This window comes from Homo sapiens, chromosome 1 (assembly GCF_000001405.40).
Source record: "Homo sapiens chromosome 1, GRCh38.p14 Primary Assembly".
NCBI lineage: Eukaryota > Metazoa > Chordata > Mammalia > Primates > Hominidae > Homo > Homo sapiens.
This window is the reverse complement of record NC_000001.11, coordinates 245,310,538-245,327,389: the sequence shown is the minus strand read 5'-3', so window position 1 is coordinate 245,327,389 and position 16,852 is coordinate 245,310,538. Positions and strand designations below refer to the sequence as shown.

The window sequence follows — 16,852 nt, the reverse complement described above, 5'->3', positions numbered from 1 at the left end:
CAAGTAAGGTCTGCTGCCACTTATTCTATGCTCTGAGCATCTAAAATGAGACCACTACATCAGGGAAGTCTTTTTGATTCAAACACTCACATCTGTTTCATTTCATATAGGGCATAAGTAAGGGGGAAATAAAGAAAGAAATCGTAATGGTCCTAACCAGAGACTGAATCACTGTAAAGCTAAAGGAAGCTCGAGATTCAGGGCTCCTCACCTGCCTGGGTGCCTTCCAAAGCCATAGGAGGGGCGCCAGCAACATGTATACATGGTCATCTGTGTTCCATTTCCTAAAGAAGGTCCCCCAGATTGTAAAAGGCTTAGGTCCGTTTACAAAACTTGGTTCCAACATTGCTGAACCTGGAATAATTTTTTCAGTTCTTCAGATGGTAAGGAGTAGGAAAAGAAGAGAGAAGTGAAAAACAACTGTAAGCGATAGGAAACAAAGACTGAGAGATGGATGTGAAGGCAAGAAGAAGGGTTCCCACTAATCCCTTGGCCTCTTGGGGCCTGATCCTTGATGTGCAAAAGGAGAAACTGGACTGGCCAGATGACTTGGACATCACCTCCCGGTTCTATGATATTTCACAGTTATAACTAAATACATGAATTTTTAAAATCCCGAGTATGATTCTTAGGAACACAGGAATGACTGCTAAGTCTGCGGAAACCAAAAGCTTGTCCTCCTGACTGCTTCTATGAGAGGCAGGCACCATGGAGGAGGCCGGGCTGTCTCCTGGTCCTTACCAGCTGCTGCTCCTTGTGCCAAGCCTACAACCAAAGCCTTGGCACACATCTGAACTTTTCTGGGCTCTTCGTAGAAGTCAGCATTTCTGAGCATGATGAGGCCACAGAAATGGAAAACAAACAGTGGTCCGGAACCTTTGCCTGGCGGTCCTGGGGTAAACTTGGCAGCCGTTGGCATTTGAATCTCTGGGCTGAGGACAGGGGAACTAGCTGGGTGGGAAGAAATAAAGCCACTTCCCTCAATTTGTGAGAGGCTGAACAAATCTACCACTGTCCAGAAATGCCATTTCTTGGCTGAGTAACCCTAAATAACCCACCTAGTAAATCATGTTAATGCTGTTTCTGTTGGAATATTCTAACGGCTTGTTTTCTTTCTAAACAGAACACCTTGTGACAATAAAAAGGAAGTCAGGAGATAAACTGTGGCTGCTTGAGGCCTTTGGTTTACATTTGAAAAACATCAGTTAGATTGACTGCAACGGTGCTCAGTGTGCGCTGTGAAGAACACGCCTTACTTTTAGAAGAGTCACATGCACTCAAATCTCGATGGGTATTTCTCATCTTGACTGTGACATGATTGCCCGTCTGAGTAGGGGGAGTGGAGTTCTGAGTCCCTGCCCACTGCCCTGCATCAAATCCAGTTGACAATGTTGTTGCTTTCACGTTCCCCATTGTCTCCCTCGTATTCTCTCCATTTAGCAATAAGCGAGGGAGCAGCATTTAGCCTCACACGCAGTAGTGGGAGGTGATGGTCAAGCCTGCAACAGTAGTTCCAATCAGAAAACCTACGTCACAAACAATACCACCCCCCCTCCGCCACACACGCTCTACCTGGCACACCAAATGCTGTCCCAGGATTCATTGGATTGAATTGACGTTCCTATTCCTAGAATCAGAAGGCTGGATGAAATGGATTCTTTTTTTTTCCTTTTTTTTTTAAATGGAGTCTCACTCTTGTTGCCCAGGCTGGAGTGCAACGATGCGATCTTGGCTCACCGCAACCTCTGCCTCCTGGGTTCAAGCGATTCTCCTGCCTCAGCCTCCTGAGTAGCTGGGATTACAGGCATGCACCACCACGCCCGCTAATTTTGTACTTGTAGTAGAGACGGGGTTTCACCATGTTGGTCAGGCTGGTCTCGAACTCAGACCTCAGGTGATCTGCCTGCCTCGGCTTTCCAAAGTGCTGGGATTACTGGCGTGAGCCACCGCGCCCAGCTGAAATGGATTCTTAAGCCTGTCTTTATGAATTCTCTGAGGACAAGGTGGCATGCAGTGGAATAAGGTTGGTTTTAAGCTAAAGTCAACAAATGACGCTCACGGTGAAAGTGAGAACAAATGCCACACATAGCAGGTGCAACTACATGAAACTGCCTATTTTTGCAGGTCAAGATCGTGAATCCTGGCAATTTCATATGGTTCAACTTAATATATATAAAGAAGCATGGGTACACAGATATGGAAAGGATTAACTCCACTCTGGGTATGTGTGTAAGGAGGTGGGCAATGAATATCATTTTCTTTCTTTTTTCTTTTTTTCTTTTTTTTTTTTTTTTTGAGACAAGGTCTGGCTTTGTCGTCCAGGCTGGAGTGCAGTGGCGTGATCTTGACTCACTGCAAGCTCCGCCTCCTGGGTTCAAGCGATTCTCCTGCCTCAGCCTCCTGAGTAGGTGGGATTACAGGTGCATGCCACCACACCTGGCTAATTTTTGTATTTTAAGTAGAGACGGGATTTCACCATGTTGGCCAGGCTGGTCTCGAACTCCTGACCTCAGGTAATCCGCCCACCTCGACCTCCCAGAGTGCTGGGATTACAGGCATGAGCCACCGTGCCCGGCCCCCATTTTCTTTAGGAACATGGCATCTTGGGTTGTCCTGCCGTGTTAACAAGCTTGCCATATCCCAGCAGCCGTGTGCCTGAGGGATGGCCGTGTTTCATGCCTGGCCCTGTGATTGGAATCTCAGAACTGGATGCTCCAGAGGCAGTGCAGGGCCCCAAAGCAGGAGGGATTTCAAGGGAAGGAAGATAGACAAATGACCTGGGCACAAAGCTAAGGAGAAACAATAAAAGAGGAAAAAGAAGGAATCCCAACCACAAGCACTCAGCTTCATTTTATTCTCGACAGCCTCTGTCATCCTGCAGTACAGAAAATGTTCTCTGCAGAGATTCCCGAGCCTCTGGCAGAGCATTTCCATGAATTTCATAGTAAACATTTTGACTGTTTATTGTTTCCATGGAAAGAATTCTTCTTCCTCCAGCTAGGACATCTCAAAATTCCATAAGAAGGGGAATCTATGTCTTGAAGATGAGATGTCCTAAACAATATATTCTGATATTTTTTCCAGCAACTCTGTCCACCATAGGGAGTCTATTCCAGGTCTGAAAATACACTTCCTGCTCAGCCTAAGCTGTGCAGAACCCACATCAACTCCACCTCCAACCATGCATGGCAGAGCCCACCCCACCTCCACCTCCAATCACCCACATCAGGGTCCACCCCACCTCCACCTCCAACCACCCCTGGCAGAGTCCACACCAACTCTACCTCTCACCACCCATGGCAGGGCCCACCCCACCTCCACCTCCAACCACCCACATCAGGGTCCACCCCACCTCCACCTCCAACCACCCCTGGCAGAGTCCACACCAACTCTACCTCTCACCACCCATGGCAGGGCCCACCCCACCTCCACCTCCCACCACCCACATAAGGGTCTACCCCACCTCCACCTCCATCCACCCATGGCAGGACCACCCCACCTCCACCTCCATCCACCCACGGCAGGGTCCACACCAACTCCACCTTCAAGTCCACCATATGCTTCCCCTGTTTATTCCCGTACAGCTGGATGTCCTTGAGGACACACAGTAGGAGCTTGGTAAATGCTTTTGAGTGAATAAGCGAATAAATAGATGGGTCGATTAATTAGTTAACAAATTAATGACTACATGAACAGGTGGTACCTTTGAGAGTGGGTCTTTTCAGAGCCTTTCTTAACTAAAAATTGGAGTGGCACTTTCCGGTGGACTGAAGGGCACTGTTCTGAGGAGAACCTTCCCCAGAAATCCAATCCGCCATACAAATCTGTGGCTCAGTGAAAGATGCTGCTCGGTCTTGCCATCAAGAGAGACCTTTCTCAAAAGGCTGATCTTCTTAATTTTGTTCAATGAATTTCTTGCAGTTTTTCCAAACTTGTTCATAATTTCGTTACAAAGCCTCTTGAAATTGTGACCTTTGTCTACAATGAAGTTATTTTTCCTATATTTCAGAAACTTGGTAATTGTATCAAGTTTCAGGAACCATAACCTCTCTCAACCACATTTATAAAATGAAAGCAAGGACATCCCCCTTCTGAGAGACTGTTGAAAGATCAAATGAGGTAATGTCTGCAAAAGAGCTTTGCAAAACTGTAAGACACAAAATACATACGTCACAACCACACATATCTACACAAATCCATGCGTGTATACACATCCATACATGTGAACATTAATAAGATAATAGGAATAGAGATACTTATATACAAGCTATATAACATAAATATTAATGGCATAATGCTTTTAGTCTAGAAGCGTACTTGAAGTCCAACACAAAACTCTCAGTCTGTGTAACCTCATTTGTCCTAAGTCAAAGCCAACTATCAATAGGACTTGCCCAGGGTCACCCAAATATAGTATCAATAAGAGACTTGGGAGCAAATTGGAGAAACGTTCATCCATGAGCTAGAGGTGTTTTCTACTAGACTATGCTGCCACCTAACTTACAAGGTTAAAAACATCCACATTTTACCACATTGGCACTAGAAGAATGAGCATTCATCATCAATGAATCATTGGTTATCTGACCCTCGGTTACCTTTTTAACAACTTTGCTCTGCCCTTGTTAAAAAGCAAGAAGTGTTTTAAGATGTTCATGATCCTTCGTCTCTTTGTCACTCGGGGCATCTTTAATAATTATAAACAACCACTACCCAAACAGCAGAAAACACAATAATGTTTAAATATGCCATACAAACAGGTAATCAGTTGTTAAACATCAGTTACTAGATGCATCATTTGTTCTTCTGTCCATTATCATGCTGACTTTAGAGTACTGTCTCTTCCATCAACCAATGTTAGTATTCGTTTCTTCAATCACAAAAAAATTGTGTGCTGATCTGTAGGACATGTGTCTGAGTTGTTCTGTTCTTGGATTTGGGGTGAGAGGGAGATGAGATCTAAATGTACTTTCCTTTTTGTGTGTGATTTTTATTTATTTATTTATTATACTGTAAGTTCTCAGATACATGTGCAGAACATGCAGGTTTGTTACATAGGTATACATGTGCCATGGTGGTTTGCTGCACCTATCAACCCGTCATCTAGGTTTTAAGCCCCGCATGCATTAGGTATTTGTCCTAATGCTCTCCCTCCCCTTATCCCCCATCCCCCACAGGCCCCGGTGTGTGATGTTCTCCTCCCTGTGTCCATGTGTTCTCATTGTTCAACTCCTACTTATGAGCGAGAACATGCGGTGTTTGGTTTTTTTGTTCCTGTGTTAGTTTGTTGAGAATGATGGTTTCCAGCTTCATCCATGTCCCTGCAAAGAACATGAACTCATTCTTTTCTATGGCTGCATAGTATTCCATGGTGTATATGTGCCACATTTTCTTTATCCAGTCTATCATTGATGGGCATTTGGGTTGGTTCCAAGATCTCAACGTACTTTCTTGGTTCCTCTCACAGTCTAGTTGTGGCCACAGGGGCCCTGCCAGCCTCCAGGAGTTAAAGGTGAGCTCCAAGGTGATGCTGCTTTCTATGGGAATCAAGTCCATCACCTTGGCTACAATAGTCAGGGCTGCTGGGTTGAATGGCTGAGCGAACTGGCATGGCCTGTCCTTTCCAGGCCTCGGTTTTAGAGCACTGGCCAATTGCGGCTCAATCAGCAGCATCTCAAATGGGAATAAGGAAGCCTTGGTGGTTATTTTGTGTTCTCCTAATGGTCTTTACTTGGGCAAGCTGTTTCCTCCTTCGAAGCTTCGGTGTTCTCCATCTCAATGGATACAAATATCTCCTAATAGTCATCATTTACAAAACAGCCTAGCATGGCTAGGCTACACTAGAACTGAAATGAGAGTTTTGCTGATTTTCCTCAGAGAAACAAAATTCTTGGTAGATGACAACCATCAGATTTGTTATATTCAGCAAGGACATTGCTACCATGAGGTGAATCTATTGGCCACATTCTAACCAATAGCAAGAATAGGCCTAGGAGAGGGTGACAAAAAGAGACACTTGTTTAAGAGTTTACCTTCATGAAAAAATGTAACTTCGATGGAAAGAAACCAGTGAATGTTCGTTGTTATTGATAAAACCAACGAAGGAAACACATCAAGGCTCAACATGGTGGTAAAGGCACAGTACATGGTTACAACTATCTGACATTCTAGAAAAGGCACAACTGTGCAGACAGAAAAAGACCACTGGCTGCCAGGGATGAGGGTGGATGGTGGGAAGGATGAATAGAGAGAGAACAGGGGGCTTTAGGGTAGTGAAACGACTCTGTGTGATACTGTAATGGTGGATATGTGATTTTTTTTCTTTCTAACCAGAACACTTTTGTGACAATAAAAATGAAGTCAGGAGATGAACTGTCACTGCTTGATGGCCTTTTGTTTACATTTGAAAAACACAGGCCAGGTACGGTGGCTTACGCCTGTAATCCCAGCACTTTGGGAGGACGACGCGGGGAGATCACCTGAAATCAAGAGTTCAAGACCAGCCTGACCGATACAATGAAACCCCATCTCTACTAAAAATACAAATATTAGCCGGGCATGGTGGCGTGTGTCTGTAATCCCAGCTACTCAGAAGGCTGAGGCAGGAGAATTGCTTGAACTTGGGAGGCGGAGGTTGCAGTGAGCCAAGATCACACCATTGCACTCCAGCCTGGGTGACAGAGGAGACTAAGCCACCAAAATAAATAAATAAATAAAACAAAACAAAAACAACAACAAAAAAAACCAGTTAGATTGACCGCCACTGCACTAAGTGTGCTCTGTGAAGGACAACACATCTCACTTTGGGGAAATCACACTTGATCATGATCACTGGGTCTTTATTCATTTGTCAAAACTCATACAATGTACAAGACAAAGAGTGAACCCTAACATAAACTATAAACTTTAGTTAACAATAACGTATCAATATTGGGTCATCAGTTGAAACAAACGTAGCACACTAAGGCAAGATGCTAATAACAGGGGAAACTGAGGAGAACGAGAGGCGGCACATGGGAATTCTGTACTTTTCATTCACTTTTTTTCTATAAGCTGAAAACTGCTTTTTAAAAAGTCTATTTAAAAAATAATAATAATAAAGTAGTAAAGGGATTTTGAGGAAGTAGCTTTGGATCAGGACTCAGAAGTCCTGGGGTCCTGCCTGCTGCCTCTGCACTGAACAGGGTGTGTGGTGTGCACGGCACATTGCTGTTCTGAGCACTGTGTGAACTGTGTGGAGGTGTGCAGGGCACATTGCTGCTCTGAACCTCCAGTCTCTCATCTGGAACAAATATGAACAATAGCTGGCTGACCTCACAGCGTGGACCATCATAATGTCCAAATAAAATAGTATACATAAAATACTTTGTTAACGGCAACATTCTAAATGAATGACACAAACAGATTTTCTAAAGGAAAGGGTAATGGTAGACAAAATGATGACACTGAGTCTGTGTTCTTATACTCCCAAATCATTCGCACGTAAGGAATCCACAGCTAAGCTACAACAGAGAAATAGCATGGACTCAGAAATCGTATCCTCAAAATGCTTCCACTCACATAGTCTCCAAGCCACATGGCTGCACTGTCATGCACAGTCTCTTCTTCTCCAACCTGATTTTAGAAAGAGACCAGAGATTTCATAAGTAGTGCATCACAGTACTAAAGTTATTCACATAAAACCTCCCTGGGAAATGACCTACAATTTTAATCAACTTTCATCCCCAGTAATTAATGGAGACATTTTTCCAAGAAGGACAGAGATTGTGTGAGATGCACACACACACGAGAGGACAAAGTTTGGAGATCACGGAATAGTTTGTAATCCAGATACAGGAAAACATTTAATCAGTGTTTTATTTTGATTAAAAAAAAAAAAAACTTGGCGTAGTAATTACTTTGCCAAGCACGAAAGATGTAAGAATGAAGTCACCTCAACAATAAGTTTTCAAAATCACTTGGTGACAAGTTGTGTTGATGGCTGTTTGTCAGGCCTGGCACATGGCCAATGGCAGAAGACTCCACGACAAATGCTGAGCAAGAAGTGGCCCAGCAAAATGCCACATTGTCACCCACTCTTCCGCAGGCTGTTATTTATGCTAAATGATGACAGCTGTGAAAAGTCTCAAAGTCAGAGAGCCCAGGAGATAAAAGCACAAGGATGGAGTTCCTAGAAGCGTGAGCAAATAAGTGAATTGGATCTGGACACATGCTACACATATACATGGCTTGTATAATGTTTGTTCAGCTTGTGTTTTGCTTTCCTGGGAGCTGTAACTTAAAGGAAAGGAATACCCATAGCTCTCTACTGAGTTTAACCTCCTTGGGTCTATTTCCTTAGTGGCAGGTTGACTCCATCAAACCCAAAGCCGTAGGCACCCAAAACTGTTGCCAATTTGCCCCATTCTAGCTAAGAGCAAATATCCCTGTGTTCTTCCTGTTTACAAAAGTTTACTTCTTCCTAAATAGGAGTAAAATGCAGTAGATTTTGGTTTTTGTTTTTTTTTCCTCATCAATCTTGGCTCAGGCTGATTTCAAATAGTAAAAGTTTCCCTTGTGACCGAGAAACTCTTTACTCTGTTTAGTTAGATCTTGTCTCATTAGCCCCTGTTGACCTACTCTGGCCTCATGAAATTTCAGGGATGACGGACACACAGCAGCCTGGGGAATTGAGTTATGTACAGTTTGCAAAGTTTTCAGAGCCACCTTTCACTCTGGAACTCTGATGCATATGCCAGAGTCTCCCGAACTCATCCTTGCTGCTTTCCCTATGAACTTAGGGAGTCGCAGCAAAGTCCCTGCTTGGAAAGGCTAGCATCCAGAGGTCACAACACAGCTCTGGGATAATTCCAGCACTGCTCTACCTGCAGATCCGGAGCCAAGCAGATATTAATGAGCAAGAAGGCAAGTAGCCCTATCAACTTGTATATTCCTCAGGGCAAAGAAGCCCCTCAGAGGAAAAATGGAGGCATTTGGCCATGCCCAGAAGGATGATCAGGTTGGTGCTGGCAGAATTCTCCCTTTCCAGAATCTTCTTCTTCCCTCGTCTTGCTGAGGGTAAGTGGAATTCACACCTGTATTTGCCAGTCATTCCTTGTATTGCCTTTACCCCCCAAGCAATGACAAGAGTTGACGTTGACTGATTGATTTGTTTTGTCTTACAGTGCCCTGTCTGTTGTGTGTACTTAATAAACATTTGCTGATTTGACCCAGAATTAAAACCTAATATACTTAGGGATCTCCTAGATCTCCTCAGAGTTCTCAGTCCTTGCAACAGAGGCAATCTGAACTGAGAAGAGAAACCATGTTTTTGCATCATCTATGCTTCTAAACGAGGGTGCCTCTGGAGAGAGGTCAGGCGCTGCACTAACCTGGAAATCAGGTGAAGTGTAACCTGTAGTGTTAGAGACATTAGCTTGTTAAGAGTGTGAAATCCCCATGCGTGCCCCATATTTTTCAAGGCCATTGAAGACGGAAAGATAAGACCCAGCGGCCACTCTACGTTAGCAAACTTTTCTTGTTTTAGACCTTAACTCTGCGCATCTGAACATCTGCAAGTTGCTGGGAAGGAAGTCAACCTGCCATCCATGGCAAGTTGAGGCATCCATGACGTACTTTCCCGCCCAGCACACCCACCTCTGCCCAGGCCCCTTGGTCCAGCATCAGGGTGTGCAGGAGCTGGGGGAGAGGGACCGGAAATGTGAAGAAAGGGGTGCAGCTCTGGAATGCGGGTCTTCCCTCTCCGACACTTACAGAAACCAATTCTCTTTGGCGGCCAAGCCAGAGGCATTCAGTAGCTTTGTGCTTTTCATCATCATTCAGCGGCATGCAGCTTCCCAGGTTTGCCTCCTCATTCCAAATAAAAGCCCAGGCTCCATTCAGTTTCTTTTCAAGTAACTTCATTCCCCAAGGTGGTATTTAGGTGATTAGTCTGTTTTTCTCAGCAGTGCCCAAAACAAACGGCCTCCCTTCCAGCTCTGGCCTCAAGCTTAGAATAAACAGATCAATCAACCCTGGGGGATAGCAACAACCCCGTGAAAGCTCACAGACAGTGAGCCCTCTGGGCCTGTCAGACAAGAAAAATGTAAGGGATATTAGGCCCGTGAACACTGTGGTTGGTTAGCTAGAATTTTAGGATTTCTAGAGCTAATTTCTAAGAAGGGACCTTAGCGCAACTCCTTCCTTCTACCGGGAAGAGAACTAAATTCTAGCTTTTAAGATCTTTTAATGATAGAGAATTGAAAACAGGATGTCTATTTTTAAGCAGGTTTCTAGATTTATTTTCCTCTTGTTGAACAGTAAAGCACAAAACAACACAGCAGGAAAATTCCAGGCAGGGAGTACAGAAAATCCAAATCAACCCTGAAATGTTGAAATCGTATATCACCACCGTGTAACAGATCCAATATGCACTCCTGACTACAGCATCCATCACCAGGTCTCGGGAGTCCCTCCACCCGGGCTGGACAGCCCAGGCGCCAGGACTCTTAAAGGAAACGCACCAGGAAACACACAAAATGCAGGTTTTTGTCCCTTGAAGGTGATTGTGAGGGTCCTTGAACTAGTTCTGGTTTGTCAAAAGCCCCACAGAAATCACACTTGTATTCATATTTAAGTATTCTATAAAATGTAGCAATTGTACCAAATCAGTATAGGGAAACTGGCCATCCAAGCCAGTCAAGGACACTACTGGGTGGTGAGATGTGTCTAGGTATTTTAAGCTTGCAGACAGCTGGCAAGGATAAATGAATTGTTACTTTATAAATGCAGGAATAGGAAACAGGCTACAACTATCTCTTAAAGCACATTCTATCAGAAAAAAAATAAAAGAGGCCGATGATGATTAAAAAAAAATTGAAAATCATTGAGGTGGATTTTCACCTTCGGGACAAGAGGTGAGAGAATTTTTCTACTGAGCCAAAATTAGTCTCATTTGGGGAAGAATTTTCCAAAATAAGAAGCACCCAGGGGCCGGACGCGGTGGCTCATGCCTGTAATCCCAGAACTTTGGGAGACCGAGGCAGGCGGATCACCTGGGGTCAGGAGTTCAAGACCAACCTGGCCAACATGGTGAGGCCCCATCTCTACTAAAAATACAAAAAAATTAGCCAGGCATGGTGGCGGGTGCCTGTAATCCCATCTACTTGGGAGGCTGAGGCAGGAGAATCGCTTGAACCTGGGAGGCGGAGGTTCACACCACTGCACTCTATCCTGGGCAACAAGAATGAAACTCCATCTAAAAAAAAAAAAAATAGAAGCAGCCAGAGAACCAAAACATGACTCAGTCTCAGCAATTTTCCTTGCAGTGCGGTCATCCACTAAGCCTGGTGACATGAAACAGGCTGTGGTCTAGTTAGGCCCACACTTTACTGTGCAGTCTGTGTTCTGAGGACTTCCTTTGATTGGTATTCTATTTGCATTTGTGGAATTAATGATATGTACTTTAATAGAAATTTATTTTTATTGTGGCGAAGTATCCATAAAATTTGCCATTTGAACCATTTTTTACTCTCTCATCTGTTGCCCAGGCTGCAGTGCAGTGGCACCATCACGGCTTACTGCAGCCTCCATCTACGGGGCTCAAGTAATCCTCCCACGTCAGCAGCCTCTTGAGTATCTGGGACCACGACGTGCACCACCACACCCGACTGATATTTTTCTTTTTCTTTTTTTTTTTTTTTTGCACTCTGTCACCCAGGCTGGAGTGCAGTGGTGCAATCTTGGCTCACTGCAACCTCCGCCTCCTGAGTTCAGGAGAGTCTCCTGCCTTAGCCTCCCAAGTAGCTGGGATTACAGGTGCCCGCCACCATGTCCAGCTAATTTGTGTATTTTTAGTAGAGACGGGGTTTCACCACATTGGCCAGGCTGGTCTTGAACTCCTGACCTCAGGTGATCCACCTGCCTAGGCCTCCCAAAGTGCTGGGATTACAGGCATGAGCCACTGCACCCGGCCTTTTTTTTTCTTTTACAGACAAGGTCTCACTCTGTCGCCCAGCCTGGTCTCAAACTCCTAGGCTCAAGCAATGTACCTTGAACCATTTTGAAGTGTGGGTCTCAGTGGCATTAGGTACATTCACATTTTTGTGCAACTGTTGCCACCATCCATCTCCAGAGCGTTTTCATCAACTCAGACTGAAACTCTCTACCCATTAAACAGTAACTCCAATGGGGATTATAGCCAAATAATTTATTTTTATTTTTATTATTTTTTTGAGATGGAGTTTTGCTCTCGTTGCCCAGGCTGGAGTGCAGTGGCACAATCTCGGCTCACCGCAACCTCCACCTCCTGGGTTCAAGCAATTCTCCTGCCTCAGCCTCCCGAGTAGCTGGGATTACAGGCGCCCGCCACCACACCCAGCTAATTTTGTATTTTTAGTAGAGACGGGGTTTCTCCATGTTGGTCAGGCCGGTCTCCAACTCCCGACCTCAGGTGATCCACCCGCCTCGGCCTCCCAAAGTGCTGGGATTACAGGCGTGAGCCACCGCGCCTGGCCTTAAAGCCAAATAATTTAAGTACATAATGCTAATAGCATTTTACCATTAATTATGTATTATGTGAATCTATACCTTGCTTGAAAATGATTTCATATGAAAATGTAAGACGTTTCTTCAGCTCTTGAGGAAGCGTGCTGGGATATAAGGCAACTGACGAATGGAGGGCACCATACAGGTAGGCGCTGACACCAAAAGCAAGAGCAATCATGGTCAAAGCTGGAAAATGACCATCCTGACTACAGCTTGCAGCACAGCCAACAGAGGTGAGGGTGAGCCAGGAGACGTCCCCTCACCCAGACAAGCATTCAACTTCACAGACCTCATTTATCCATTCACACGACCATTCATTTGCTTATTGAACACATAGTAGTCAGTTGCTTCCATGTATTAGCTAAGCCCTATGCTGAATGTAAGGGCTGTTTGTTTGTTTGCTTTTTCTTTTTTTCGAGACAGAGTCTCGCTCTGTCGCCCAGGCTGGAGTGCAGTGGCACGATCTCGACTCACTGCAACCTCTCCCTCTGGGGTTCAAGCGATTCTCCTGCCTCGGCCTCCCGAGTAGCTGGGATTCCAGGCGCCCACCACCACGCCTGGCTAATTTTTTTTTGTATTTTTAGTAGAGATGGGGTTTCACCATGTTGGCCAGGCTGGTCTCAAGCTCCTGACCTCAGGCGATCCACCTGCCTAGGCCTCCCAAAGTGCTGGGATTACAAGTGTGAGTCACCGCCCCCCGCCTGAATATAAGTTTTTAAGGGCAAGTGCTGCCAGGAGTCCCTGTCTCTGACCCCAAGGGGTTTGCCATCTAGCTAGGGACTCACATACAAGAGCAGGCCTCCTGAGACCTGGACAAAGAGGGACGTGAGTGAGGAGGAAATACCTCAAAGCGGAGGGAACAGCAGGTGCGGAGAGCGAGAGGGGGAAGAGAGAAACGCTCTTTTGAGAGGACTGAAAGGAGCTTCACAAACCCAGATGACAGGAGGGGTGCCATGAAAGAAGAGACTGGGGAGGGTGTCGGGGCCCAAATCAGGATGGGCCTCAGTCTTGCTAAGGAGCTTTAACAGTTTCAGGACAAGGTGAGTCATTGGGGATTTAATGACGAAAATGGTATGTGCACCACAAGAAGCCCAATCTTCAGCTGATCATGTGCAGAGACTTAGGAAGACCGCACAGTTTATATCTGTGAAATATCTGCTAAACACTGCGACTTTCTTCCCGATTAATTCCAGGTGGTGTGAATGCTTGCCGCGGGATCTGTGACAGGGACATGGTTAAAGGGGAGCCTGCTCCACAGAACAGATCTTTTGACCGCTCAGACCTGCAGACCATGTGGTGCTCATGGCTAGTGGTCACCAGTATTTCCGGGTCTTCTCCCCTTCTTACACACTCGGAAGACACAGTTTCACAACCGCCCGTGCATCGGGCAGGGCTGCACAATTAGAGCCAGCCCACAGGCTGTGACTGGCTATGAACTTCTCTGTCATTTTTGGGCTGCCAAACTTAAACACCCTTTCGACAAAGCTCTTCAGTCTGCTTTCCCTCTTCAGTGCACCCTAAGTCCTGCTGACATGGAAGTCATGAGATCTTCCCTGGAGAGTGACCTGGCCCCACAGGGGACTTTGCATAAACCAGTGAAGCCATAGACATCTGGTGTAGCCACAACTTAACCCAGCTTAGCCTGGCTGATGCAGGCAGGTGCAGTGTCAATCCATCTTTTTGTTTGTTTGTTTGTTTGTTTGTTTTTTGAGATGGAGTCTCACTCTGTCGCCGAGGCTGAAGTGCAGTGTCATGATCTTGGCTCACTGCAACCTCTGCCTCCCAGGTTCAAGCGATTCTCCTGCCTCAGCCTCCCGAGTAGCTGGGACTACAGGTGCGCACCACCACGCCTGGCTAATTTTTGTATTTTTAGTAGAGACGGGTCTCACCAGGTTGGCCAGGATGGTCTCGATCTCTTGACCTCGTGATCTGCCCGCCTCAGCCTCCCAAAGTGCTGGGATTACAGTCCTGAGCCACGGCGCCCGGCCAGTATCCATCCATCTTCCCTTGAATTTGTTCTCTTGCAGATACTATTATGGTAGTGTTTTTGCATTAGTATCTCTAGTATTAATATGAGACAGCTGGTGAGGTAGAAAGAGCATTGATCCAGTTTCCAAAAAGAACTGGGCTCTAGAACTGACTCTGCAACCCACCAGCACATGAACTTGGGCATGTCACGTAACCTCTCTGAGACCTACTTTTTTCCATAAAAAGGGGAAGCAACACTTGCTACCGCCCACCCCCACCTTAAGAGTTGATGTGAAGTTTAAAGTCCAAAGGGAAAATGTGTGTGAGAATGTGAGGCAAGGTACCACTCCTGTGACCATTTTCCTACCATTGCTAATGAGTGTCCTAGGGGAGAAGAAAAGGAATGAATTAGAATTGTTTTAAGCTCCCCTCCTCTCGCATACACACAAAAAGAGAGGCAAACGACTCCTGTATTTATGTAGATTAAAAATCTCATTTTGTTGCTCAAATCATTTCAGGTCTCTTGAAAGCTCATGTGAAAGTTGATTATCACATGCAGGCTCAGATAATTTCCCCAGAGAGCTAAACAAATTAAAATATATTTTTTAACTCCAACAAGCTGACACGGGCCATCAGTTGCATCCTTAGGACAAGTTCCATCATGTGGCTTTAATCAGAAGCTGGGTGTCTAAGCAATATTTACCTGGCGGGAAGGGAGGTGGCACAAGCAAGGGGCCAGGAAGTGGTTCATCAGGATCCTCCAATTCTAGTGCCCATTATTCCCAGATAGCCATCTCCATGCTGTAGGTAGACCCAGCTGTGCAGTCAGATGCTGGGCTCTTTATAGGATGACTAAGCCATCAGCCTACCACTCCCCGGAGGAGGTCTTCAATCTGATATGCATAAAACCTCACCTCAATTCAGCGTGGCTGATTCTGAGTTAAACGGTGATTTTTTTGTTTCTTTTTCTGAGATGGAGTCTTGCTCTGTCGCCCAGGCTGCAGTGCAATGGCATGATCTCGGCTCACTGCAACCTCTGTCTCCTGGGTTCAAGCCGTTCTCCTGCCTCAGCCTCCTGAGTAGCTGAGATTACAGGCGCCTGCCACACCAGGCTAATTTTTGTACTTTTGGTAGAGACAGGGTTTCCCCATGTTGCCCAGGCTGGTCTCGAACTCCTGACCTCAGGTGATCCACCCACCTTGGCCTCCCAAAGTGCTGGGATTACAGGCATGAGCCACTGCGCCTGGCCAAGGGGTGATTTATTTATTTATTTATTATTTTTATTTTATTTTATTTTAGAGACAGGGTCTCACTCTGTCACCCAAGCTGGAGTGCAGTGGTGTGATCTCTGCTCACTGCAGCCTCGAACTCCTGGCTCAAGCAATCCTCCTGCCTCAGCCTCCCAAGTAGCTAGGACTACAGGAGCAAACCACCATACCCGGCTGCAGTGAGGTGGAACTTCCCCAAAAAAGAGCAGGCGAGTCTAACTTCCCCAAAAAAGCAGCCTGAAAGCTGTGTAACAGGAGACGATGACAAGACAGCGACCAGCCTGAGCTTCAGCAAGCACAGATCTACACATTCATCGCTGTGACAACGACCCTGCAGACCCAACACGGACCACCCTCCCACAATGCAGAGATAGTGGCCACTGCTCCATGGGTCACAGGCACCCTTGCTGAGCTGAGGTCAGCTCCGAGAGATGCGGGTCATCTGAAAGGAACAATCAGGCGGTGAGAAAAACCAGAGACAGGCGAGTCTAGCTTCTCTCTTCCGCTTTTGCTTTTTAGGAACATCTGTGTGCTTTGTTGCCCCATTTCCTTTCTCCTTCTTCAGCTTCATGCTGATGTTGACACAGACTCCTGATAGAAATTCCTGAGGGGTACAGTTGGAACTGGCAAGACAGTGAGGTGGGGTGAGGAAATCAGAGTGTAGCGTCAAACAACTTAAGTTTCAATCCCTGCTCTGATACTTGGGAGCTACTCATGACACCAGGAAAGTGCTTTGTAAATTGCAAGCAGAGATGGGAAAATTAGTGGTTCATTTGCAGCTGTGGCTCTGCAGGTCACCTTTCCACAGTGCCGGCCCAGCGGGGCTTCCCACACATCACAGCCGCTTCTGCAGGCATCCTCCCTCCCCTGGGCTCTCTCCCCATCGTCCCGCGTTGCTGCTGCTGCCTGCACATGCCACATACACAGCCTTCCCTGCACACGTGCCTGCTGCTTCCTGCCTTCAGAGAGCAAAGCCTTCGAGTGCAAAAGAAGGCAACATCTGAATGAGCTTCCAATACAGATCTCTCCCCCATTTTCACCGCTGAGAGTAAAGGGAAGATAGTTTTATTCAGATGAGGGCCTTGAAAACAGCA

The 16,852-nt window shown here is 46.0% G+C and overlaps 1 protein-coding gene across 1 annotated transcript in view, besides 1 other annotated feature; it reads right to left on the bottom strand.

Moving 5' to 3' along the window:
- The window catches only part of KIF26B (kinesin family member 26B), a 554,448-nt gene that overhangs the window by 382,043 nt on the left and 155,553 nt on the right, over nt 1-16,852 (bottom strand). The window lies entirely within an intron of this gene.
- Nucleotides 15,961-16,136: a silencer, noted in NCBI's record as "fragment chr1:245474556-245474731 (GRCh37/hg19 assembly coordinates)". NCBI's record gives its function as "represses an EF-1alpha promoter that drives an FKBP-Casp9 reporter gene in an ReSE screen in phorbol 12-myristate 13-acetate-treated (for megakaryocytic differentiation) K562 erythroleukemia cells {active_cell/tissue: K562(+PMA)}" and the evidence as "EXISTENCE:reporter gene assay evidence [ECO:0000049][PMID:32094911]".